The sequence below is a fragment of the Homo sapiens genome, chromosome 2 (assembly GCF_000001405.40).
Source record: "Homo sapiens chromosome 2, GRCh38.p14 Primary Assembly".
In the NCBI taxonomy this organism is placed as follows: Eukaryota; Metazoa; Chordata; class Mammalia; order Primates; family Hominidae; genus Homo; species Homo sapiens.
In genome coordinates this window covers 216554052-216579185 of record NC_000002.12, presented here as the reverse complement: position 1 = coordinate 216579185, position 25134 = coordinate 216554052, and the positions used below count along the sequence as shown (strand labels likewise).

The window sequence follows — 25134 nt, the reverse complement described above, 5'->3', positions numbered from 1 at the left end:
TTGGGTGAACATGGAGGAAAATATATATATTATATGCCTCAAATACACAAAATGTACACATCTGAAAAGACTGTTTGCAAAGCTAGTTTCTGGAACATGATGCACAGTGAGTTTTTCCCGGGATTTCAATATTTAGTTAGGCATGTATGGCGATGCTGCAAAGTAGATCAGCTGCGACTGTTTGTGACTTAATGTGCTCTTCTTTAAAATGGCTGCTCTCCCAGACAAGTCCTCCTCCAATGTTGTTTGCTGTTATTCCATTCTGCTGCAAAAGGAAAAAGAGTTTCACTGTAGAAATTCCTCATCAACTTGTTAAAATTTACGGAGAATGTTTTGAGTCTATGGAATGTATAAAAATGGTGTGGGAAGCAAGGGGAAGGGTGGGAAGAAGCCAGGCTTGCTTAGGGCAGAAGGTGGTTCTCCACATTTGACTGAGCTGGTGCTGGAAGCCACATCTAGCAGCATGATGTGCTTGAATCTCCTGGCAGTTGAGAGAGAGCTAAGTATTGCTTGGAATAACTGGCTTAGTGGGAAGAGGCTTGGACTGGAAGTCAAGAGTCCTGGGTTCCTGTCCTGGTTGGTCCCTTTTGGTTCCAACATTCTAATATCTGACAACTGCTTCATGTGATATGTTGTTATGATAATGACCACTGATGAGTCATGCTTCCCCTGTGCCCTCCTCTCTTCACTCTGTCAGTTTATAGATGTACTGAGAGATGGAATCCATTTTTCCATCCCTTGGACATGGGTTGCCCTTGTGACTGGCTTTGATCAATAGAATATGGCGGAAATGTCCCAGTGTGAATCTCTGAGCTGATCTTTAAGGGATCTTGCATTGTAGATGTTACTTTCACTCTCTTGGGACACTGTCATTGCCATGTTTAGAGGCAAGGTCTAGCCTCTTTCAGGATAAAGGAGACAGAGGCCCAGCCGGCTGCACAAACCTGCCTGCTGCATGCAGCTGGACAGGGAGCCCCATGAGGCCAACAGAAGACCTGCTCGGTAAACCCACAGAACTGGAAAAACTAATAAATCGTGCTTGTTTGATGCCACTAAGTTTTGCAGTGGCTTGTTACGCAGCAATAGATAGATGAGCAGCTTGTTGAAAGATCGCTTTTAAGAAACACCTTATAAACAACCTTCTGCATGTTCACCACACCCCAGCAAAACCCCCTCCTTTTCCCTACTGTTAACTCTTTTTCTCTCAAACTAGAACAAACTTTCAGCCTTTTTTCTCTCTTTTTTTTCTATCCAAGGGAAAATGTCTACATTCATTTGCTCTCTTCCATCCTTGGGGCTGGGACCTGTGGGGATGCAATAAAGGCATGAGCAAAGTCACCTTCAGCCTCTAGTGTGTGTGTGTTGGGGTGTGTCTCCTGAGAAAAACAGAACTTTCATCTCAGGAAAAATTTCAGTTTGTCCAGGCTGCTAAGGAAGACGTCTTCAAGAAGGAGGATGCCTGTCTTGACCGCATGGTCAACAAAAGAAAATGACCAGGCATGGTGAGTCACTCCTGCAGTCCAGCTATTTGGGAGGGTGAAGTGGAAATATCATTTGAGTGCACTTGAGCCCAGAGGTTGAGGCTGCAGTAAGCCATAGTCGTGCCACTTCACTCCAGCCCGAGCAATAAAGTAAGACTGTGTCAGAAAGAAAGAAAGAAAGAAAGAAAGAAAGAAAGAAAGAAAGAAAGAGAGAGAGAGAGAGAGAGAGAGAGAAAGAAGGAAGGAAGGAAAGAAAGAAAAAAGAAAGAAAGAAAGAAAGAAGGAAAGAAAGAGAGAGAGAAAGAGAGAAAGAGAGAGAAAGAAAGAAAGAAAGAGAAAGAAAGAAAGAAAGAAAGAAAAAGAAAAAAAGGAAGGAAGGAAAGAAAGAAAGAGAAAGAAAGAAAAAGAAAGGAAGGAAAGAAAATTGTAGATACTGAATAGTGACATGTGTGATCTGCCTGTTGCTAAGATATCAACTGTATCTTGGTCTTTTTCTGCTTCCCTTCTTTTCCTTCTCTGTTTTATCCCTAATCTCTATTCTATGACGTTTAGAATGTAGTTATTCTAGCACTCTCTATTTCCTAAGGACCCACAAAAGGAAACAGAATAGAGTCCATGAAGACTGTCTGAGGAGTTCATCTACTGACAGTCTATCTCCAGTCCACTGAAAGTAAGAAGGCCTGTGTGGATGACCTTGGTATGTCTTGATATGACCTTGATATGTTCCTGATTGTATTATTCTTTTTCCACAGCACATAAAACATTCTACTGTGGAAATCAGAAAAAGCAAGATTATCTTAGGAGAAACACAATCTCTCGTCTTAAAGATGAAAGGACTGCACCTTGAGAGGCCCTTCCTGTTGAGTTGTCATCTGAACAAATCAGAGTGGTGGTTGAGGACACCAGATGTATTATTTCCTGCCACAGCAAATTGGAGGGCTCGCACTGTTCCACCGCCATCAACTTAGGAAGCAATTGAATTTGTTGATTATCTTTGCAAGAGGGAGAAGCTTAGCATCAATGAAGACATTGGTATTTGGTAGGTATTCATTTAATCTCTGATCGATCTTATATAATGAGTTATATTATTCTCTCCCTTGGGGCTGCATTTTGCAGTTTTTGTCATAAAGGCAATTCAAACAGGGTAGATCCTGAAAAAAGAAAATCAGAATTGTAAGAAATAGCACTATAGAAGCTATAATAAAATTTTTTCTCGGCTGGGCGCGGTAGCTCATGCCTTTAATCCCAGCACTCTGGGAGGCTGAGGCGGGCGGATCACGAGGTCAGGAGTTCCAGACCATCCTGGCTAACACGGTGAAACCCCGTCTCTACTAAAAATACAAAAATTAGCCGGGCGTGGTGGCATGCACCTGTAGTCCCAGCTACTCGGGAGGCTGAGGCAGGAGAATCGCTTGAACCCAGGCGGTGGAGGTTGCAGTGAGCCAAGATTGCACCACTGCACTCCAGCCTGGGCGACAGAGTGAGACTCTGTCTCAAAAAAAAAAAAAAAGTTTTCAGGAGTGAACAGGTGATAACAGATAACAGCTGGTCTAATAAAGTTTCAGATTAAAGTAGTTTTTTAATATTATGTGGAATTGAACACGGTAGTTTCAATCTACCAATAATACAAGAGTTACAACAGTTTTCAACATTGAGTGTGTGTGTGTGTGTGTGTGTGTGTGTGTGTGTGTGTGTGTGACTCTGTTGACATCCCAGTGTGTTCCTCCTTATGCCAGTGTATGCCAGCTATATGTGTGGGCAAGAGGAAGGGCTGGCTCTGAAACTTCCCCAGTATGATAACGCTACTCTTTGGCATTTGCTACAGAGAGCACACAACCCTTCTTTTGCCCTATGTAATCTATTAGCACCACTGGTATTAGCTAGACAGTGTTTCTAGCCAACAAGAACCTAATGTGTGATGAGTGCTTATTCCCACCTCCTGACACCACACATGCACACTCACACATGCCCAATCTTCTCTGAGCCCCATTTTGGACATGTGGGGATGTTTGTTACTCATCCAAGTTGAGATGTTGAATAGGAAGTAGGATTTGCAAGTCAGAAATTCTGGGTAGAGGAGTAGAGGACAGATCTAGGGGTAAAAATGGATGAGTCATCAGCATATTGAGGCTCTACTGAGTGTGCAGTGCAACTACACAGCTTGGTGAAGTGGTCAGAGGATTCGAGGCTCTGGAGTTGGCTCTGCCACCATGAAACTGGTGACCATAAATGTGATCCTTCCCTATGTGAGCCTATGTCTTCCCATTTGTAGAATAAAGGGATGGGAGAATGGCGTTTCTAAGGTTCCTTCCAGCTAAAACATGTTTGTGATTTTAGGATTCTAATTGCTAAAGTGTCCCCTACCCTCAAAGAACTCACTATCCCCTGGGTTCAGCAGGCTACAAGCCAATCAGTCATAAGAGCAATGGGGCAACACAGCAGAAGCCTGCCACACTAGTCACCCAGCAGTGGGAACAACCATCGTGCACTGGAGTTGTCAGGAAATCGTGTGGATTGGAGGCCACCAGATCCACAGAAACTTTTGGCTGAGTCTCATTCTCAGTCCTTTGTGGTGCTGTTCGCTGCCTTGCAATTCTAATAATCTGTAGGTCTAGTCAAAATTTCACCCTTTCTCCAGGACTTGGTGCTTTGATCTGTCAAAAGAAGAGATTAGGCCAGATGATTTCTGTTTCCATAGAAGAGTCTAGCCCAAATATTTTGAGTCTGTGGTTGCCTGCAGACTAGCAAGAACTTTAAAACTGGTTTCATGATTTTGGGTATTCTGGAAGTTTCAATAGTTTTCAAGAAAGTTAGAGGTTCTGGGATCTGCGTAATTTTTCTTCCGAGCTACCACCCTATCTATCTTTGGACGGAAGCTACACAGTTTTCTTTCCACCAGGTAAACTTCCAGATACACAAACACTGCAGAGGCTGTGGGTCAGAGAGCAAGAGTTAATTGTTGCACTGGAGTCTGAGTGTAAGGGCTGACTTGGGTCCCTAACAGGAGCTATCAAACCCTTTGGCCATCAAAAAAATATATACCTACTTGATAAGAAACTGAACCTGAATAACATTAATAATAATCACAATAATAGCAACTATTTCTTGAATGCTTACAATACACCAGATATAATGCTAAGCACCCAATAAGAATCTCACTTAATATTTGCAACCTTCTGAGGTTGGTATTATTTCCTAATACAGATGGCAAAGTAAAGTTTAAAGGCTTAAGTAATTTGCCCCAAGCCCCTCAGCTAATAAGTGACAGATCTGGATCTGAGAATGAAATCCAGGTCTGTCCTACTCCGAGATGCCTGAGTAACCATCCTGCTACACTCTCAGAGTCCCCAGCTTTGAGAGAAGCTTTTACTCATCATGCCTGCATTAGCAGGATTGCTCAGTTAGACCACAGTGTTCCAGATTTACAGGCCCCCAGGGATAAACTCTACAGATTTTCTGTATTCATTACCCTATCTCTGCCTGTGTTCATGTCTCATCCAGCACCCTCTTTCCCCACCCCTGGAGGTCTCTGAGCCATGTTGACATGCCTGGTTTATAAACTCACTGGCTCTACATTCTCTAGCCCTTTCATTCGTTGTCCTAAATTTTTTTTTTTTTTTTGAGACAGAGTTTTGCTCTTGTTGCCCAGGCTGGAGTGCAAAGGCATGATCTTGGCTCACTGCAACCCCTGCCTCCGGGTTCAAGTGATTCTCCTGCCTCAACCTCCTGAGTAGCTGGGATTACAGGGATGCATCACCACGCCCAGCTAATTTTGTATTTTTAGTAGAGATGAGGTTTCTCCATGTTGGTCAGGTCTCGAACTCCCGACCTCAGATGATCCGCCCGCCTCGGCCTCCCAAAGTGCTGGGATTGTAGGCGTGAGCCACCGCACCCAGCCCAGTGTCCTAAACTCTTTAGGAGGCTGCAGGAGGGGGAGAGAAAGCAAGGTGGGCTGAAGGTTAAAGACTGGGCAGAGGGCTATCAAAAAATGTGATATGCAAGCTCTTTATGTGACCCTAGGACTTTTAAAAACCCAATTATAGTGCCCTTGGTCATCCTGATATGGAGATTATTAACTTGCGCTTTGGCATCAGCTAGACCTGGGTTCTAATCATAGTTCTAAAGCCTTTTCCAAGTTACTTCCCTTCTCTACATCTCAGTTCCCTCATCTGTACCATGAGTAGGAATAAGTCCATCCAAGTTTGTTTTTAGCATTCCCGGAGATCACACATCTGCAGGGTTCAGCACAGGAAATGTTCCAAACTTGTAGCGGCTATTTGTAGTACACCCTCATTGGCCGCCAGCCTAGTTCCTTCTCACTTTTTCCATGCTGGGCGAGGTGGTGCACTGCCCTTTCTGATAGGTCAAAAGCTGGCCTGCCTCTGGAACTCGCTTTGATGTGGCTCCCCTACCCATTTTATGAGCAGGAATGGGTGGAATGACCTTGAAAAGAAGCATGATTGAGCACTTTTAACTAAGCACCCACTGTGTACAGAACACAAAATTAGGCGTAGGGGAACTGTGTTCTTACAGAGTAGAGCATCCAGTTGAAGAGTTAAGACCAATACTCCAAAAGGATGAGGCTATAAGAATACAGGACTGTGCATAACTAAGTGCTATGTGGGCACAGAGGACAATTGCTAAAGCTGCTTAAAACTCTAAGCCAATGGTTCATCCAAATCCCTGACAGAATGATCTCAGAGGCCTAGGAACCTGAGGAATCTCATAGCGGGTTATAAACGCACATTATCTGTAAGAGTCAGGATTGTATTGCTGGCACCCTGGGTGGGTACATGGGCAGTGGCAACGATTTGTGTGTGGGCTGCTGTTTCCATTCCCAGAGGGCAGAGCTCATGTTTGGGCTTGGGAGGGTGTTTCCTACTCAATAAACAAAAAGTGGCCGCAACAGGACTGGGGCAAAACAGTGAGGGGAAAGAGCACGGAACTAGATGTCCAGAAACCTGGGTCTTAATTCCATCCTGAGCACTATCTCCTCGTACAACCTTGAGCAAGTCCTTTGCCCTTCTGTTTATAAAATGAGGTGGGTGGATCAGGAGTTCTCAAACTGTGCTCCATGCTACCCTGGGGTTCTAGAAATTCTGGAGCTCAAGGGCATCAGTGGGTCAAGAGGACAGGTGAGTGGTGGGTCGGAACTCCAGGCTGCCTCTCTCTCTACTTTCTCTGCCTTCAACCAGAGCAGTCCCACCTATATCTTTTTACATATTAAGGTTCTTTTCTTGGAAAATCACCCAATTTATCTCCCTCCACATCACTTACACTTACACATAGGTCAAATGAGTCCCAGAGAGCCGAAGCAACTTGGTCAAAGTCACCCAGTGAGTGGCAGAGACGGTACTAAAGTCTCCTTTGTGAAAATGCTGACAATTATTTATTGTCCAGGGAAAAACGTCAGTCCCCATCTCTTATAGATATGGAAGGAAATCATGATTCCTAAATTCTGAAATGGGGCAAGGTAGGGGAGAGAGGAGGGGCTGAGCCCTTGCTTGTTACAAAGCACACCTGAGCACCAGTTCTGACAAAGACCACCTGAAGTTTAGGCAGTGCCCAAAGGAGAAGCCAGCGTGCAACTGAGGCCTTGAAACTCCACTCCCTGTTGACAAAGAAGGGGGCTAAAGCCCAGGAAAAAGCCCCATGAGTCATTCTGAGGACTTTCTAGAATGGCTGTCACTTTCACCACCATCAGCCTCTTAGTCACTCCCAAAAGTCAATACACTATGGGACAAAGATTCCTTTTCCCTTTTTTAAAAAAATTAATAGACTATTTTTTACAGAAAAATTGAGCAGATAATACAGAGAGCTCCCATATACCTCCCTCCTTTTTTGCACTGGTGTGGTACATTCGTTACCATGAGTGAGCCAATATTGACACACTATTTTTAACAAAGTTCACAATTTACATTGTTTGCACTGTCTTCCAAAGTGGCTGTACCATTTGGCATTGAGCAGAAAATACAGAGTTCCTTGTCCGCTGAGTCAGGGTTCACTCTTTGTGGTGTACATTGTACAGGTTTTGACAAACACATAATGTCATGTGCCCATCATTTTACAGAATGATTTCACTGCCCTACAAACCTCCCATGCTCCACCTATCCATTTCTCTCTCCTTCCTCTACTCCCAGGCTCCTGGAAACCACTGATCTTATAACTTACTCTATGGTTTTGCCTTTTGCAGAATGTCATCAAATTGGAATCATACAGATTTCAGATTGGCTTCTTTCACTAAGCAATATGCATGTAAGTTTCCTCCCTATATTTTCACTGTTTTGATAGCTCACTTTTTATCGCTGAATAATATTCCATTGTATGGATATACCACAGTTTGTTTATTCATTCACAAATAGATGCTGAAGGTCATCTTGGTTACTTCTAAATTCTGGCAATGATGAATAAACCTGCTATAAACATTCATGTTTATAGCACATGTTTGTGTGGACATAAGTTTTCTACTAATTTAGGTAAATACTTAGGAGTGTGATTGCTGGATCATGTGTTAAGACTATGTTTAGCTTTGTAAGAAACTGCCAAACTGTCTTCCAAAGTAGTTGTACCATTTTGCATTCTCACTGTCATAGTGGGTTTGTTTGTTTGTTTGTCTATCTGTCTGTCTTAAAACAGAGTCTTGCTCTGTTGCCCAGGCGACAGTGCAGTGCCGTGATCTCGGCTCACTGCAACCTCTGCCTCCTGGGCTCAGCGATTCTTGTGCCTCAGCCTCTTGAGTAGCTGGGATTATAGATGTGCATCACCACACCTGGCTAATTTTCGTATTTTCAGTAGAGATAGCATTTCACCATGTTTCCTAGGTTTGTTTTGAAATCCTGGCCTCAAGTGATCCACCTGCCTCGGCCTCCCAAAGTGCTGGGATTACTGGCATGAGCCACCACACCAGGCCTGTCATAGTGTTTTTATTTGCTAAAAATGTCATTAAGTGGCCTTCTAAGTAAAGAAAAATTAAAACTAAATTATTAGCATGAATTTTGCTGTTTATATTGTGAAATACAAACATAAGAACATTAACTCAAGGCTGGGTACTGTGCTATGATCCTAGCACTTTGGGGGCCAAGGCAGGAGAATTGCTTGAGTACAGGAATTCGAGACCAGCCTGGGCAACATAGCAAGACCCCATCTCTACCCACCTCAAAAAAAAATAGCTGGAGGTGATGGTGGCATGCAGATATAGTCCTAGCTACTTGGGAGGCTAAGACAGAAGGTTCACTTGAGCCCAGGAGTTCAAGGTTTCAGTGAACTATGACTGCACCACTGCACTCCAGCCTGGACAACAAAGCAAGACTCTGTCTCTGAAAAAAAAAAAAAAAAAAAAAAAAAAAGAATCACTGAAATTACACAATTTGTATTTTGTAGCTTATACATGCATAGGTATTTCATTCTTGCCAGAAAAGTAGAAACACTGCACAGACTTAAGTGTGCATTCTACCAATGTTCTCTACTTTCCATTTATTTTTTCTGTTTCTTAAAATTCCATATTTTATTTCAAATTCTACCTTCAATTTAATGAGAAGTAAGGAAGGACTCAGAGGACAAGAAACTACACATTGCCCTGTGTTTTTCTTTCCTTCTATATCATCAGTTTCAGCAAAAGTGGTTGGCTGACACAGGGAAGTAACAGGAGTAAGGAAGCTTCCTTGGTCGTTCTGTTCTTAAGAAGATCACCATTGCCTTCTTTCTGCATTTGAAACAAGCTCTTATTTGAATGGAAAGCACAGCCTTGCGGCACAGTCAGCACCCACTTACTCAGTCATAGTCACGCTAATAGGGAACAGGAGTAGGAAATCTCTCTGTTCAGTGAGACTCAAAGCCATCAGCTTCTAGACCATGCTTATCTTATACCTGCTTGAGTCTCTCTGAGCCACCATGCGTGGTATGTCCACTGGAATTGGGTGTTCACGAGGCATCCCAAATGCTCTATCTGAATGGGGCAGCAAGGAATGGAGGACACACACATCGCAAACGCCTCCTCTGCTCATGACCATGCCCCATTGTTCTACCACTCTTCACTTACAAAACACACATTCAAAGATAAATGTATTACAGATTTCAAGATGGCCAGCAAAGCATGCACTGGGCCCTTCTGAATGCAGTCCCCATTAGACAGCACAGGTTGAAAAGCTGTGAAGCTGGCCCTAAGTTTCCTTAAACTTTATCTGTTCTGCTCCACTGCAGGTTACAACTCTCTCTTGACATAGGAGAGAACTTCTTCCTATCATCTGCCTAATGGTCAAACCAGGACCCTGAACATGATCCTGAGTCCTCACTCTCTCTCAAAGTCCACATTCAATCACCAACTCCTACCAATTCCCCTGCGGAAGCACCTCTTTAATTTTCCCACTTTCCACTTCACCCCTGTCACCTTGTTCTGCCTGCAACTGCTGCAAAAGCCATATGATGGATTTCCCTGCCTCCTGTTTCTCTCCTCTAATGGAATCCCCAGACAACAGCCAGAGTGAGTTTTCTAAAAAGAAAATCTAATCAGGTTACTTTCCTGTGTAAAACTTTTCAATGCCCCCAAAGTCCTCGAGATCAAGGCTTATTCTGCATGGCTTACAGGATTCCTTCTGGTCTGGCTCCTGCCTGACTTTCCAGCAACATTTCTCATGGTTCACTCTCATTTTCGTGCTCCATAAAAATTGAACAATGTACACTTCTTTGAATATCCTTTTCTCAGCAACTCTTACTTTATTCTTCACAAGCCTCAGATATTACTTCTCCCCATTGCTATGTTTATAAGTGCCATTACATAATACTTTCAGAGCTGTATCATAATTACTTATCTGCATCTTGCACTAGATTCTAAGCTCCAGAGAGTAGGATTACTGTAGTGTCCCCAGTGCACTGAGTACAGTGACTGCCACATCGTCATCACTCAATAAAAAATGTATTGCAAGAACAAGCTCTCTCTGAATCTCCCTGAGCCAGATGTGTCCTCATGTCACAGGCCAGTGAGATCATAGCTTCTTGGTGGGCGGTGGGGTGAATTGGGTGGTACCCAGCCCATCTCCTCATTTCCCTGGGCCAGCCTTTGCTAATTCACTCACATTTCTTGGCAGGCTGTGTATGACGCTTTATTGGGACTTCTTGGGCAAATGTTTTTCAACTTTCCATTTGTCAACAACAGCTCAGGAAAATGGAGAATACATAAAAATACCAACCTGTATATAAAATCAGAGTTTTCAGGGACATTCTTTCAGCCCAAAGAATACCCTTGTTTGGCCCAATCTGAAGTTTTTCCAAGTAGGGTCAGTCTCACCAAGCAACAGAGAAGGCAAACGAAGTGGGATAATTTATGCCATTTCCAGAATATATGTCCACATTGCACACAGCCTGGTTAATCTGCAGTGAAATAGCAAGCATTTGCACAAACTAATTTAACACTTTTCTCAAACACCTCAGATTGTTGCAAAACCTCTCTGTGCTATTAAAGAGAGGTTAAGAAAGGAAAGAACAAACAAAACACACAAAAAATAGCAGTTTGAAGTTGAAAACAAAGAGTCTCAGAATAGCTTCATTTCCACACCATAGTCACTGCGAAATCATCCTTTGAAAATTGCTTTTTAGTTAACAAGCCTATTTATCTTGTCTCATTGGATCCTTGTAACAATGCAAGAGGTCCTTGAAGTTTTCTGTACCAAGTCCAAATCCTCCATCTGCTTTTAAAGTCATCCTTGATCTCAGCCTCTGCCTGAGCCCCTACCTGTGTCGCATTCAATCGGCCACAGGTTTCTCATTATGCAGGCCCCACACCTAGGTCACAGATCCTGGGAACACTCCCATTCATGTGATCTCCATGGCTTCTCCCTTGGCATGCTCCACTGTAGTAGAGCTCAGTCTTTTCTCTCTGGCTTCTTTTATAAAATATATAGAGTGTGTATCTTTATAAAGTGTATATCTAAAAGAGCATTTGGTTTTATTTATCTATTTTGGGGTTCATCATTGTGACTCCTGAATCTAAATTTTTTTTTTTTTTTTGAGACAGAGTCTTGCTGTATCACACAGGCTGGAGTGCAGTGGCATGATCATAGCTCACTGCAACCTCAGCTCCTGAGCTCAAGCGATCCTCCTACCTCAGCATCCCAAGTAGCTAGGACTACAGGCACACTCCACCATGCCTAGCTAATTTTTAAAATTTTTTTAAAGATGGGGTCTCTTTTTGTTGCCCAGGCAGTCTGGAGCTCCTAGACTCAAGCGATCCTCCCACCATAGCCACCCATAGTGCTGCGATTACAGACATGAGCCACCACACCCAGCCTGAATCTAAATGTTCTTATCTTTCATCGGTTCTCAGCCACCTTCACTTCAAACATTGCCTCACCCCATTCTCTCAGTTTTCTCTCCTGGAAGTCCTCTTGAATATCTGTTAGACTTTCTCATTTTATTCTCCATGTCTCCTAATATCTCTTTCAGAGTTTTCATCTCCGGTCTCCATCCAGATACTTTCCCACATTTAGCTCCAAGTTTTCTAATTGTTTCTCAACTATGCCTAATCTACTATTTAATCTGTTCATTGAGTTTTAAAGTTTAATGAATATTTTTCTTATTTCCAAGAAATGGTAGTATTTGTTTTACTTTTAAAGCCTGCCTGATTTTATTCATTTACGTTTTTCAAGCTTTATTTTATATTATTCATCATTTTAACATACTTAATTATCTCCTCTGATGGTTGTGTAATCTACGGCTCTTGAAAGTCTAATCCTGTTGTTTGTTGCGTCTGCAGACTTTTTTGTTTTCTGTTTTGTTTTGTTTTGTTTTGTTTTTGAGACGGAGTCTCGCTCTGTCGCCCAGGCTGGAGTGCAGTGGCGCGATCTCAGCTCACTGCAAACTCCGCCTCCCGGATTCACGCCATCCTCCTGCCTCAGCCTCCCGAGTAGCTGGGACTACAGGCGCCCACCACCACGCCTGGCTAATTTCTTCTTTTGTATTTTTGGTAGAGACGGAGTTTCACCATGTTAGCCAGTATGGTCTCGATCTCCTGGCCTCGTGATCCGCCCGCCTCGGCCTCCCAAAGTGCTGGGATTACAGGCGTGAGCCACCGCGCCCAGCCGGGTCTGCAGACTTTTGCTTATGTTTTTTCCTTCAGTGTTGTATGATTTCAGATTGTGAGCTCATCTTCAGCAGGACTTTAATCTGGAGAAACCAGTGTAATCAAACTGCTTGCTTCTAACAGAGTATAATTGGCCCATACCAAATTTTATGTTATTTCTTAGCCCAGGGGTTTCTAGGTTGTGCAGGAACTATTTATTTAAACCCCAAACCCATGAAAGGCTCATGCCAGTGGTTCTGAATTCTTAAGGGAGACATTTCCCCCTCCTGAGCTAAAGCTCAGTTCAAGATAAACATACTTTCGTCTCATTTCTTTCTGCTAGAGATTGACTTTTTTATGCAATTTTTAAAAGGACGTTGTCCTTCCAGGGTCCTGGCTTTAGGTTGACATCTCAGTGCCAACACGCCACCTCCCACAGGCTCAAGAATTTGTTTCCTGTCCCTGAACAGTATTAAAGCCTAAGCCTCTGTGCAAATAAGACCAGCTCGAATACCAATACCACTCTCATCTGTGGTAACTGTAAGAGACAGCCAATGTGCTCGCTTTTCTAGTTTTCAGTTCTCTCTTTATTTCTAGCTCCTGGGAATTTTTGTGCACTCAGCTTTGTTAATAACGGGTAGTATTTCTTGTTTATAAGCACCAGGCGCCATGCTAAGTTCTTATTGTATGCCTTAAGCCATTTAACTCGTGTTGCACCCCTTGAGGTAAGTGCCATTACTATCAGTCCTGTTTTCATATAAGGAAATTGAGGCATAGATAGGTAAAGTAACTGCCCAAGGTCTTAAGGCTGTTAAGGGAATAAGCTCAGATTGGAAGCTTAGGCCAAATGACCTCAGAGCCCATGCTCTTAACTCATACTTTTTACTGCCTTAATTATGTTAGATATAGTGAACTCCAAGTTTTTCTTCAAAGAATTAATATGTCAGTATGTTCAGCTCTCTTATTCTTTGATTCTCCATTTTTAAGTTTAACTTTCTGGTTCTCTTCGCCCCCTTGCCTCTAGTTTCAGTAAACAACTTTCTCACCAGTTCTAATTAGTAGTTCACATCTGTTCCCGCAGTCACCTGCTTTGACCTGAGCCATCCTGAGTCACCTGTTCTTTAAACACTCTTCCCGCCATACTACTTACCCTGCCACTCCGGCTCGTACTCCTACTCTCTCTACTAAAAAATAACAAAAAATTAGCTGGGCATGGTGGCCTGTAGTCCCAGCTACTAGGGAGGCTGAGACAGGAGAATGGCGTGAACCCAGGAGGCAGAGGTTGCAGTGAGCTGAGATCGCGCCACTGCACTCCAGCCTGGGCGACAGAGCGAGACTCCGTCTCAAAAACAAACAAACAAACAAACAAACAAACAAACAAAACCACAAAAAAAAAACCAGCCAACAGGAATTAGTTTAGACTGTATGGTCCAACCCTAGCCGATAGGGGAACGACGCAGCAGTACAGGCTACCTGCATCAGGAATAAGAACCCCTTCCCCTCCCCATGCAGGTGTGCTCTCACCATTACTCCATCTGTGAGTTGCACCCTTCTATAGAAGTAAAGAATTGCCTTACTGAGAAAATTAAATTTATGTTCAAGTGCTATTTCTTTGCAGCACCGAGGAACAAGCATTTGCTCCTAACTATTAGGATATTTAGGTGTTTTTCTAACAGGAAACAATTTAGACTCCATATTGTAGTTTCACTCTATTTCTCCCCAAACATCTGAATCAAGAATAACTGCATGAATAGGTGGGCTTTCTGTCAAACTGACAGCCTGACAATTATTTTGGCTGGTAACACAGAGAAAAAGTTGAAGCCTGCAATTTGGGGAAGAAGCCAAAATCCAGGCTCCATCATGAATGCTCCTTCTGCTAACTCAAAGAAAATGACTTTACAGCTGAAGAAATTGGAGTACCCTCGAGTTGTCAGGGACTTTACAGACAGTGCTTATCAAAGTGTGGTCTATGGACCATCTGCATCAGAATCAGCCCAAGGCACTTCTTTAAAATGCAGATTACCCCGAACCTAATAAATCTAAATTCCTGAAGTCAGGTCCAGGAATCTACCTTTTAAAATAAGCTCTCCACCAGGCTCTAATTAGAATGTGCAGTGGGGTTGGAGAACCACTCACCGCTCAGTGTTTGCTTTGGAGCCCAACCTGGGACCACAACAGGCACACCAAAGCCTCCCTACCTTCCTTTCATGATGTGGCACCACACGCTCTTATGCACAGATGAGGGAGCAAGCCCATGAATGTGGCCTTCTGCTGGGGTTCCATGGATCCTGGGTTCCTCCCATCATACCACTACTACTAATTACATTACCATACTGCCATTAACTGCACTATGCTGTAAGTAATGGTCTTGACTGCTGTCTATCTCCCCATATAGTCTGTGAAGGTAGAAAATGCTCTTTGGCTAGCTTTACATCCTTGATACATAGCATGGGGCCTGACATGCAGTAATCACTCAATGCTTGTTGAATGAATGAATAAATTATTTGAACTGCTTAAGAGCCCCCAACTAACCAATGATGTGAATGAATAAATTGATTTGAACTGCTCAAGAGCCCCCTACTAATCAATGATGTGGTGAGGGCTAGAACCTCAGTCTTTATCCCAAGAAGCCTTTAAATCTTCCAACTCTGCTATTCCAGCAGTCATTTTTCTCCCACTCTTTTGGGAGCAGATGGAATTTCCTTTTTGCCAAGAGAAGGTTCGAGTTATGGGATAGCAATGCATTCCTTCTTACCCCGCTGAATCCCACTGAGACACTGGAATTGCTATCCAGTAGCTAACTGGGTGGGGGGTGGGTAGGCGGGGGAGCGAGGTTAGGGCGAGGGCAGACATTGAGAAGCTGTAATGTGAGAATCATCTGGAAGTGTTGTAGTCTGGACAGCGATGAAAAGGGCCCAGCAGCTCCAAGACAGAGTTCATCGTTGTTGGTCCTTGAAGTCAGGGAAGCTGGGCCTCTGATGCTACTAGGCTCCTAACAATCTTTCCTTTCCAAACATGGCCCTTTAACTTGCAGGTGTGTCTCCATCCCTGCAGCACAGTGAAGCATGGCAAGAGGACCCTATGACAGGGAAGCCAACCCCTATTCCCTGCCAACACTACTCAGTGGAAGGGACAGTCCAGCAGGCCGATATCTCTCCAAGGATCCACCTCGCTTCTTCAAACCAGGGTTTGAACCAGCTCCTGGGTCCCAAGTTTACCCACTCTTCCAGTTTGTTATTTATGAAACACGTTTGATTCCAGCTCTTTCTATGTGCCAGATCCTCTGAAGGTTACTGAGATGAGTAGGACTTGGGCCCCGTCCTGACGGTTTAGGCTGGAAGACAGGCATTCACACTCACTTGCCAGGTCATCATTCAGGGAACAGCTTCAGGCTCGCAGTGAGGCCTCACCTTCTCGTGCCTGAACAGCTTCAACCCCTTTGATGTTTCTCTGCAGGTGCCACACGATGGAGATTGTTATTTTAATGCTCACAGGGCCTACGTGATGTGGGGCACCCAGTTCCAGCAGCAACCCACATGCTTGAGTGCCATGTAATCGCAGGCCTTCCAGCAGAGTTTTCCTGCACAGGAATCTAGAAACAGCACCCACCTCCCACCTCCCTCACACCGTCTCATTCCTGCCTGTCTCTCTCTGCAGCCTCTTTGTCTCCTTTTCTTTTACCTTTGGCTCACACTCCACTATATGTCTAAGTTTTCACTAGTCTGGAAGCCTCTTGTGTTGTTGATTCAGGGCCGTTGTAGGCAGGCTAAGAATTCTCAGCAGTTAACCATCACGTTACCTCCCGCCCTCACAGGGTCTCCAAGGGGATTAAGGAAGCTGGTGCTTCTTAGGACACCAGGACACCAGACACGAGGTGGCCTGCTTAGCAGGTGCCTGGGTTGTGTCCATGAATACTTGTGTTCACCCATTTGTTTGTTTACATGCATTTATCCAAGACAAGAGGGAACATACTGGCTTGCGTGTAAACAGAAAACTTTAGGAATGGAGTGGAGGCATGATGCGGCGACATTCTTTCACCAGGCCCTGCTTTTCTCTGCTCATCTCAGTTCTGCTCACTCTGCTTGGCTCCACCTCAGACCTGTTCTCCCTGGGGGCAGCAAGATGGCCCCGGTTCCCACTCCCAGCCCCATTCCAATTCCAATGAAAGTGTCAGAATTGAAGTCTTTTTTTTCTTCTTCTTCTTTTTCTTTTGAGACAGAGTTTCACTATTGTTGCCCAGGCTGGAGTGCAATGGCACCATCTCGGCTCACTGCAACCTCCACCTCCAGGGTTCAAGGGAGTCTCCTGCCTCAGCCTCCCAAGTAGGTGGGATTACAGGCATGTGCCACCATGCCTGGCTAATTTTGTATTTTTGGTAGAGACAGGGTTTCTCCATGCTGGTCTCGAACTCCTGATCTCAGGCGATCCGCCCTCCTCAGCCTCCCAAAATGCTGGGACTACAGGCGTAAGCCACCACGCGCCCAGTCTAAAATGAAGCTTTTTTTTTTTTTTTTTTTTTTTGAGACGGAGTCTTACTCTGTCGCCCAGGCTGGAGTGCAGTGGCGCCATCTCGGCTTACTGCAAGCTCTACCTCCCGGGTTCATGCCGTTCTCCTGCCTCAGCCTCCCGAGTCGCTGGGACTACAGGCGCCTGCCACCATGCCCAGCTAATTTTTTGTATTTTTAGTAGAGATGGGGTTTCACCATGTTATCCAGGATGGTCTCCATCTCCTAACCTTGTGATCCGCCCGCCTCGGCCTCCCAAAGTGCTGGGATTACAGGCGTGAGCCACCACACCGGGCAAAATGAAGCTTTTAATGGCAAAGGACAAAACGTGATATCAGAAAGTTTTCAGATGGCTCTTGCTGCACTTGCCACACTACACCAACTTGGTGCTTTGCTTCTACCTCTTTCACCAGACAGCATGTTCCATTGAGGCAAGAATCTAACTTTCTTATTTATCATTGCATCCTTGGCATCTAGCACCATGCAGGGAACATAGCATCAAAAACAGTTGCTGAGGCCAGGTGCAGTGGCTCACGCCTGTAATCCCAGCACTTTAGGAGGCCGAGGTGGGCAGATCACAAGGTCAGGAGATTGAGACCATCCTGGCTAACACGGTGAAACCCCATCTCTACTAAAAACACAAAAAATTAGCCAGGCATGGTGGCATGCTCCTGTAGTCCCAGCTACTCGGGAGGCTGAGGCAGGAGAATCGCTTTAACCAGGAGGCAGAGGTTGCAGTGAGCCGAGATCACACCACTGCACTCCAGCCTGGGCGACAGAGTGAGACTCCGTCTCAAAAACAACAACAACAACAACAACAACAAAACAGTTGTTGAAGGAAGAGAAAAAGGAAAGAAGGGTTAACTTGAATAGGGGCTGGGCTCTGGGTATTCTGACCCCAGAGAAGTCTTGCTCACCCAAAGGCTCCCATTATATGACCTCATAGAATAAGAAATCATCAGGCTTAGTCCAGGCCCGGTGGCTCATGCCTAGAATTCCAGCACTTTGTGAGACAGAGGAGGGAGTTTCGCTTGAGCCTAGGAGTTGGAGACCAGCCCAGGCAACATAGCAAAATCCTGTTTCTATTAGAAAAAAGAAAAAAAGAAAAGTTAAAAGAAATTAAAAAATAATCAGGCTCTCAAAATGTCTCCAAAGTACACCGGGGGAAAAATAAGAGTAACTCTGGCCCAGGGTCCAGGCATAGGAGAGCAAGTGTGCTTCTTTCTGAAACAAGCAGCCTTACTGGATGCACTCTCCTGGGTGGGCTGGATGACCATGTAGTGGAAGTCAGCCTCTCTCTATTCCAGGAAGGGAAAAGTTGAGCTGGAGATAGAACGATGGTCCATCTAGGGGAAAAGATAATCAACTCTCTGGCCGTATTTTAGTTTTAACTAGATCTCCATTTGCTCTCCACCTTGGCAGAACAATGTTAACAAATGCCTTTCTTTTTCATCCAGATATTCCCCAGATGGTTTCATGAGTCCCTGAATGGTGTATGTTTTGGCATAAATCTACCCACAGGACCTTTAAAAGGTCATATCCCTAAGCAAATTCAATAAAACAAAATGAACAAGTCCTTGGGACAAACTGGAATTGTCTCCAAATCTAATATTGAGGCCTGATACACTTTTTCAAAATGGAAGCTGCCCCAGTAGCCGCTGCAGAAAATGTGTTGAATTTATTCATCCATGAAGGCAGAGGGCTGGAAGTGCAGGAAAACTAAGGGTTGGAGAAACTCTTTTCTCCCAAGCCAACAAAACCAAGCAAGTTTGAGAGAAGGAAAGAGTTATTCTTGACTGAGAAGAGGTGGATGAACGTGGGAGGGAAGCAGAAGAGAGATGAGAAAAGTTTCCTACCCCCTGGTTCAGTGAGATGGAGAGAAGGGAGGAGAGGGGAGGGGGAGGGAGGGGGAGGGGAGGGGAGGGGAGGGGGAGGACAGAGGGAGGAGAGGGGAGGGGGAGGGGAGGGGGAAGGGAGAAGGAAGGGGAAGGGGAATGGGAAGGGAGGCGAAAGGGATGGGGAAGAGAGGGGAGGGGAAGGTGATGGGGAAGAGAGGGGAGGGGAAGGGGATGGGGAAGAGAGGGGAGGGGAAGGGGATGGGGAAGAGAGGGGAGGGGAAGGGGAAAGGAAGAGGAAGATGGGTACACAGAAAGACCTGCAGGGCCACTAGAACACCTTCTCCTGGGCCTAGGAGGAGAGCTTGCCTAAATCCCCCTGAATCCCCTTCATGCAAAAGGTCAGTCTTCCTGGGGGAAGACCACGGGAGTCCACAAGAGGCTGCCTCCTGGGAGATTATGGAAACAGGGGCTGTGGGCAGGCAGACTACAGAGGCATTTCAGCAATGGTTTGACCTGGTATGTGAAAATTTTTTCCTGCTTAGATAGTTGGCAAATATTTTAAAGGCAAAATGGAATTTATTAACAGAAGATATTTGTCAAGGATTGTTCTCTCCCCCAGCAATGGCCCCCCGCCACCCCATTCTTCATTTTTTATTTTATTTTTGAAACTTCTTCTTCCCAGGATAGAGGACTTCATCAACAAGGTTCTTTCATCTTCCTTAGTTGTTTGGATCCTTAAGCCTGCCTTGAAAGAAGAGGGAGAAGGCTTCAGGGGAAATGCTCCCCGCGCTGACCCACAGGATGGCTTCCTTCAACAAATGCAGGTATCAGCTTTCTATCCTGGGAAGAGCCTGGGCTGATAATGAATTGTCATTCCAGAGGAATTCATTTTGTTCACCCTGGCATAGGCTTTGGGGCCCCAAAGACCTTAGTCTGAATCCGTAATCCACTAATTATTAGCCATGTGGCTTTCATCTTAGTGAGCCTCCATCCCTTTCCGTAGGAGTAGAACAAGAGAAGAATAGGTGTTGGCTTTTGCCATTGTTAGGAGGATTCGGTGAGATGGTACATGTTCAGTGTCTGGTACAAGGTCTGACCCAGAGCGAAACCTCAGTGCACGTCAGTTCTGTTCCTTCTAATACAGGATAGAGACCCTGATGGGAGCCTGCTCATGGGCTACTCAACTAAGGATTAGAATATGGTATCACTTAATACAGGTAAGATTCCAGCCTTCACAAAACCTACGGATAACCAGAGGCAGCAACAATAGGTAATATTCATTGAGGGTTTACTAAGGGCCAAGTGTTCTAAACACTTTACCTGTGTGAACTTATTTAACCTTCACTAGAATCCTATTATTATGCCCAAAGCTAGAGAGTGGCTGAACTAGCATTGGAAGCCAGCCTACCTGGCTCTCCAGCCAACTTTCTTAACATCACTGCAGCAATGGAAGGGAACCACTGGATTAAATCATTTCAGAAACTGAACAGGGGTTGAGGGATTGGCTCTTTCAAGACCTTGTTTTACAGAGAAGGAAAGCAAAGCTCAGAGAGGGAAATTCTCACCCAAGGCCTTGTAGCTGCTGGTGGTGGAGTAGCTCCTGGTCTATCAGGCCAGTGTCTTGCCACTGTCAAGGAGAAGAATGGTCAAACCACTGGAGAAAGAAACTGTGTTGTTGACCACACTGTCTATGAGAATGGCAATTCTCTAATGGAATTTTATGCAAATTTAACCCATACAAAAAGCCAATCATTTTTTTTCAGCCACCTTTGATTGGCTGCCTGCTACAAGAGAAACATCAGGAGGTACGTATTGCCATGGGGGGAACTGAAGATGGAGGACCCCTCATTTGTGGAATTGGGAACGGGCTTTGGGTCACATGAGGCTCATCCCTGATGAGCTAGAACGTGGAAGTTACCTGAATCCAGAAACCGATATTAGGCTCTGTAATGGACATGCAGAGGAAGAAGGACCTGTTGCCACGTCTACAGAGGGGTCAGGAAAGACACACTTGGAATGACCCTAAGAAACCATGGGCAAGTCTCCATTTTTTTCCCTCAGCCAAATCTGTATGCACTGGTACAGCCATACCAATTATTAAAATATTGAAAAACTTCTGTGTCCCTTGGGAAACAGCCACTACCATGAGCCCCACTACTGCCCTTCTCTCCTGGCATGTTCAGACCTCCCTGAGTCCAGCAATGAAAGGGTTAACACTTGCCCCAGCAGAGGGCCTCTGGGAGCCAGCTCCTGCCTTCAGAGCTGTCTGTTAAGACTGGTCTAGGACTAGATTCATTCTTACTGTTTTTAAATAGCTTGAATGTCACCTCCAGATGAAGCTCCCCAAACGGAATGAGACATCTAAATAGAGCCACATGGGGTCCATCTGGGGTGGCTCCCCAGAGGACAAATTTTGCAAAGGAAATCTGATGGGGTAAGAGATGCAATTTAGTGGCTAGGAGAGTGAGGGTTTGGACAAAGCTCTGATTAAGGAGCAATCCTCCTGTGGCATGCTAGGGTTTAAACACAGGGTTCAGAGTGGCATGCACATCCCTCTGCCCTCGGCTGCCCTCTGCGCACTACTCCTGTCATAGACTCTGAGGACAGGCCTAGCATCCAGTGGCCACATTATTAATACTGCTTGATCTGCCGCACTCCCTCCCCTCGTCACACAGGCTGGGAGCTTATGGCCCTAGACAACACGTGCTGGAAGAATGCAGGTCAGAGCAGCACAGAGGACTCCCCGGCAACCCTCGAATCCTCTGCCCAGCAGGGTTGCCAAAGGTCATCCAAGCAGGGTTGAGGGATGTAGGAGGCTTCACTCAGATTCAGACATTTGCAGAGAAAGAAAGGTTCAATAACTTCTGGGGTATGATGTCCCACATTGTGTGACAGCTGGGAAAGGGCTCCTTGTCTTCATGTCATCCCTCCTATTCAAATGGAGAAAGAGCAAACAGGGAGGCAGAAAGAATAAGGGCGAGACAGGGCCCACTCACTTTCCCCTACACTGCAGTGGAAATGCAGGGCCAGGCCGGAGTGTGTTTTGCTGGCTCTGAAGCCAGACAGTCCTGGGTCCACACCCAGGCTCCATCCTTCCCAGCTATCAGACCCTGGGCAGGTTATTTAACCTCTCAGAGCCCAAAGTTTCCTTGTCAATAGAACAGGGATAATAATAACTCAGGGGCCCTGTTGAGTGAAGTCATATATGGAAGGCATCTACCCATGTGACTATTGCTGGTTCTCTTCCTTCATCTTATTAGGTTAGGAAACAAAAACTGTCTCCTGAGCCATTCAAAGGTTATAAACTAAGTTTAGGAGTTTTTTTCTTCCATCTACATACTTTCTCCCGTATCTTCACCTGGTTTTATCTTCCCTTGAACTTCCCAACCCTTGGCCCTTTCCTAGGAATAAAAGGGCGAGAGATACCCAGGCAATAAGGAGATGGTTCCTGCAGCCAGGTAGATATTTCAGAAGGGATGGCTTCTACCATCTTGTACTGTATATCAAGAACCTCCCAGAAGTTCGTAGGGTTTAACCTGGAACTTTGACTTCTAGGAATCAAGGTGAAAACATTCAAGAATTTCAAGGTTCAAAGATTTAGAAGTTTATATACAAAGCTGTGACACACATACATATATATGCACACTAACACGTGTGTGAATATATATATACACACACACATATATCACAATCTAAATGTCACATACATTTTGCTAAATGAATTAAAAGAATTATTTATTTATGGTAGAACATTATAAAGAACACTACGTATGACAGGGCACTGTAAAGCCATTAAAAATCAGGTTTGAGAAAGTATTTGTTGAGAGAGATTCTTGAAATACATAGCACAGTGAAAAGTCAAGACCCAGAACTGTATTTATGGGATGATCTCAAACACCCAACAGATGTCTGAGTATAGACAAAAGCCTGGAAAGAAATTTGCCAGGATGTGAGTTCTGGTCAACTGTCACTGTTGGCATTGGAAGTGAGTTTTATTTTCCTCATTACAAAAGCAATTCATGTCCATTGTAGAAAATTTGAAAAACACAAAATTATATAACACGAAAAAGTGGATTTTAGTTTTAAAATATCTTAAAAGAGGAATGATTAGTCTCCAACTGACCCACAAAAAAAATGTCAGCAATTGAAACCTTCAGCTGCTTGACTACCAGCTGCAATGTTTGCAACACTATGCCCTGTACACACCTATGCACACGCACACACATGCACATGCGCACTCTGAGATTCCACTAAGACACGCAGTGAAGTCCCTTGGTGGGGTTGCAGGAGCTGAGGCTGAGATGAAGGTGTCCATTGGAAGAGAAAATACACGAAAATAGGAGGAGAGGATTGTGAGGAGAAATGAAATGAGAAAAGTGGCGAGTGGGCTTCTAGGAATAAAATTCCTGCTAATCACCATCTTCATTTAGAGAGATGGGCTGAGAGTCTTTTGCCAAAGAAAGAAGAGTCTACAGGATGGCTGGGATAGGTGCTATTTTAAGAAAAATATATGCAACCATCTGGAGGCTGAAGGGCTTGCTCGCCAGAGCCAGGTGGGCCCGTTTTCTATTGCAAATAACAAACCACCCTGAGACATGGTGGCTTATGGGGCAGTGGTCATTCTTGCATCTGCAGCCTGGGGAGGGCTTGGTGGGGCAGCTCACCTCTGCTCCATGTGCTGTCAGATGGGACGACGTGACTGGGGGTGCCCAGGACAGCGGCCCCCAGGCCTGGCACACTGGTGCTAATCAGCTGGGAGCACAGCCAGGGCCGTGGGCTCCTTTCCACGTGGGCCTCTCCTCCCCAAGGGCTGCTTTGGCTTCTTGTGGGCACAGTGGCTGGGTTCCAAGAGTAAGTGTCCCAAGAGACAGGAAGTGAGAGCTGCCAGCGTCTGAAGGCCTGGGCCCAGAAGTTGGCACAGCACTGCATTCATTTGTCAAGTAGTCACAAGGCCAGATTCTGGGCAAGGGAAGACAGATCCCAATTCTTGATGGAAGGAGGGTCAAAGAATTTGGGGGCCACATTTTAAAACTGCCACAGAGGGGGACACACAAGATCAATTCTTGGGGGGCTGCTCCAGCCCAAACCGTTTACAACATTGTGGTGCTCAGGAAGGACAGATGGGATGAGAAGTTTGAGGCGTGAGCAACATCGCACCACATCCATATAAAACTGCCTGCTATGGCAGGGACTGGGAGGAGAAGCCCAGTTCCTCTCTGGCCCACCTGGCCAGCCCCCACAGCATGGCTCCCTTCAGCCTCTGGGCTCTTCTCCTTCCACCTGTTCTGTCCTTAACAACCCTGAACAACCTCCAGTTCCCACAGGTCCCCAGGGCCTTTGTGAGCAAATGGAACATCCTGCCACTCCTCAGAGCCAGCTATAAACGCCAAATGATGTCAGGGAGCACTCAGGTGTTTCTGGCAAGAGAATTTGCCACTTTCTCTCCATGGGACTGATGAAGCAGAGGTGGGAGCTAGTCATGCTTTGTCTGGCCAGTGTGCAGCTCTGCCAGGACTGGTCTTCTCCTGGGACTTTAAGGCCCATAAACTCCTGAGAGGGGACCTCACAGATGGAGTCCAGCCATGGAGGGGTAGGAGGCTCAGCGCAGGGAAGTGGCTGTCTCAGAAAAGATGGGACTAGAACCCAGTTCTCCCAACTCGAAGTCAGGTGTTCCCTCCACCAGCCCATCTCCTAGGGTGCATTCTTTCCCTACTAGCCATGGAGCTTCTACTGTGAGCGAGGCTCTTACACACAGGGGAGCTCATATTTGATGAGAAAATGTTTCCAGTCCAACACCTCCACCCACAAAACCCTAATAGGGCATCTAAACATTTCCTGCAAAGAAGCCACAGCTCAGCAGGGCAGATCTGTGAAGCCAAGGTACACTGGGTCCTGTTCCAGAGCTCAACACCTCTCACCCACCCCACCAAAGGTGAAACTTCTCCAAAGTCCTCAGTGTCACCTTCTGTAAAGGATGGGAACCATGCTTTCTATGGTGTGATATATTCGAGGTTGATTTTCTGTAACAATGATGCTTCAAGTGAATTACCATTAAGTAAAAAGGATGATCCGGGAAGTCACGGTGTCCTGTGCCCCATACCACCCACTATGCCCCAAGCCCAGGATAAAAAGCACAGCCCAGTGTGGGGGTTTTGCTATAGCATTTGAGTTTTGAGACCAGATGGCCCCTGAATCCAGGGATCTGGGCAGGAGAGCCTGGAGCATTAGGGTTCTCCTACAGCCATAGAGCACGCCTT

At 45.3% G+C, this 25134-nt stretch overlaps 3 long non-coding RNA genes across 5 annotated transcripts; 1 reads left to right on the top strand and 2 right to left on the bottom strand.

Annotated features, from left to right (window-relative positions):
• Window positions 1–25134, bottom strand: LOC101928180 (uncharacterized). Of its 2 annotated transcripts, none has more exons than XR_427226.4 (2): window positions 23542–25134; window positions 1–265 (listed from the first exon to the last, which is right to left on the bottom strand). It is a non-coding gene; the product is annotated as an uncharacterized LOC101928180 (long non-coding RNA). The 2 variants fall into 2 exon arrangements; XR_001739882.1 differs by lacking the exon at window positions 23542–25134 and adding an exon at window positions 10667–10932.
• LOC105373871 (uncharacterized) lies at window positions 2245–20992 on the top strand. Of its 2 annotated transcripts, none has more exons than XR_007088077.1 (4): window positions 2245–2520; window positions 7675–7736; window positions 19560–19701; window positions 20641–20992. It is a non-coding gene; the product is annotated as an uncharacterized LOC105373871 (long non-coding RNA). The 2 variants fall into 2 exon arrangements; XR_923873.3 differs by lacking the exon at window positions 2245–2520 and adding an exon at window positions 6549–6616.
• Window positions 19434–20606, bottom strand: LOC124907976 (uncharacterized). Its single transcript, XR_007088078.1, has 2 exons — window positions 20443–20606; window positions 19434–19618 (listed from the first exon to the last, which is right to left on the bottom strand). It is a non-coding gene; the product is annotated as an uncharacterized LOC124907976 (long non-coding RNA).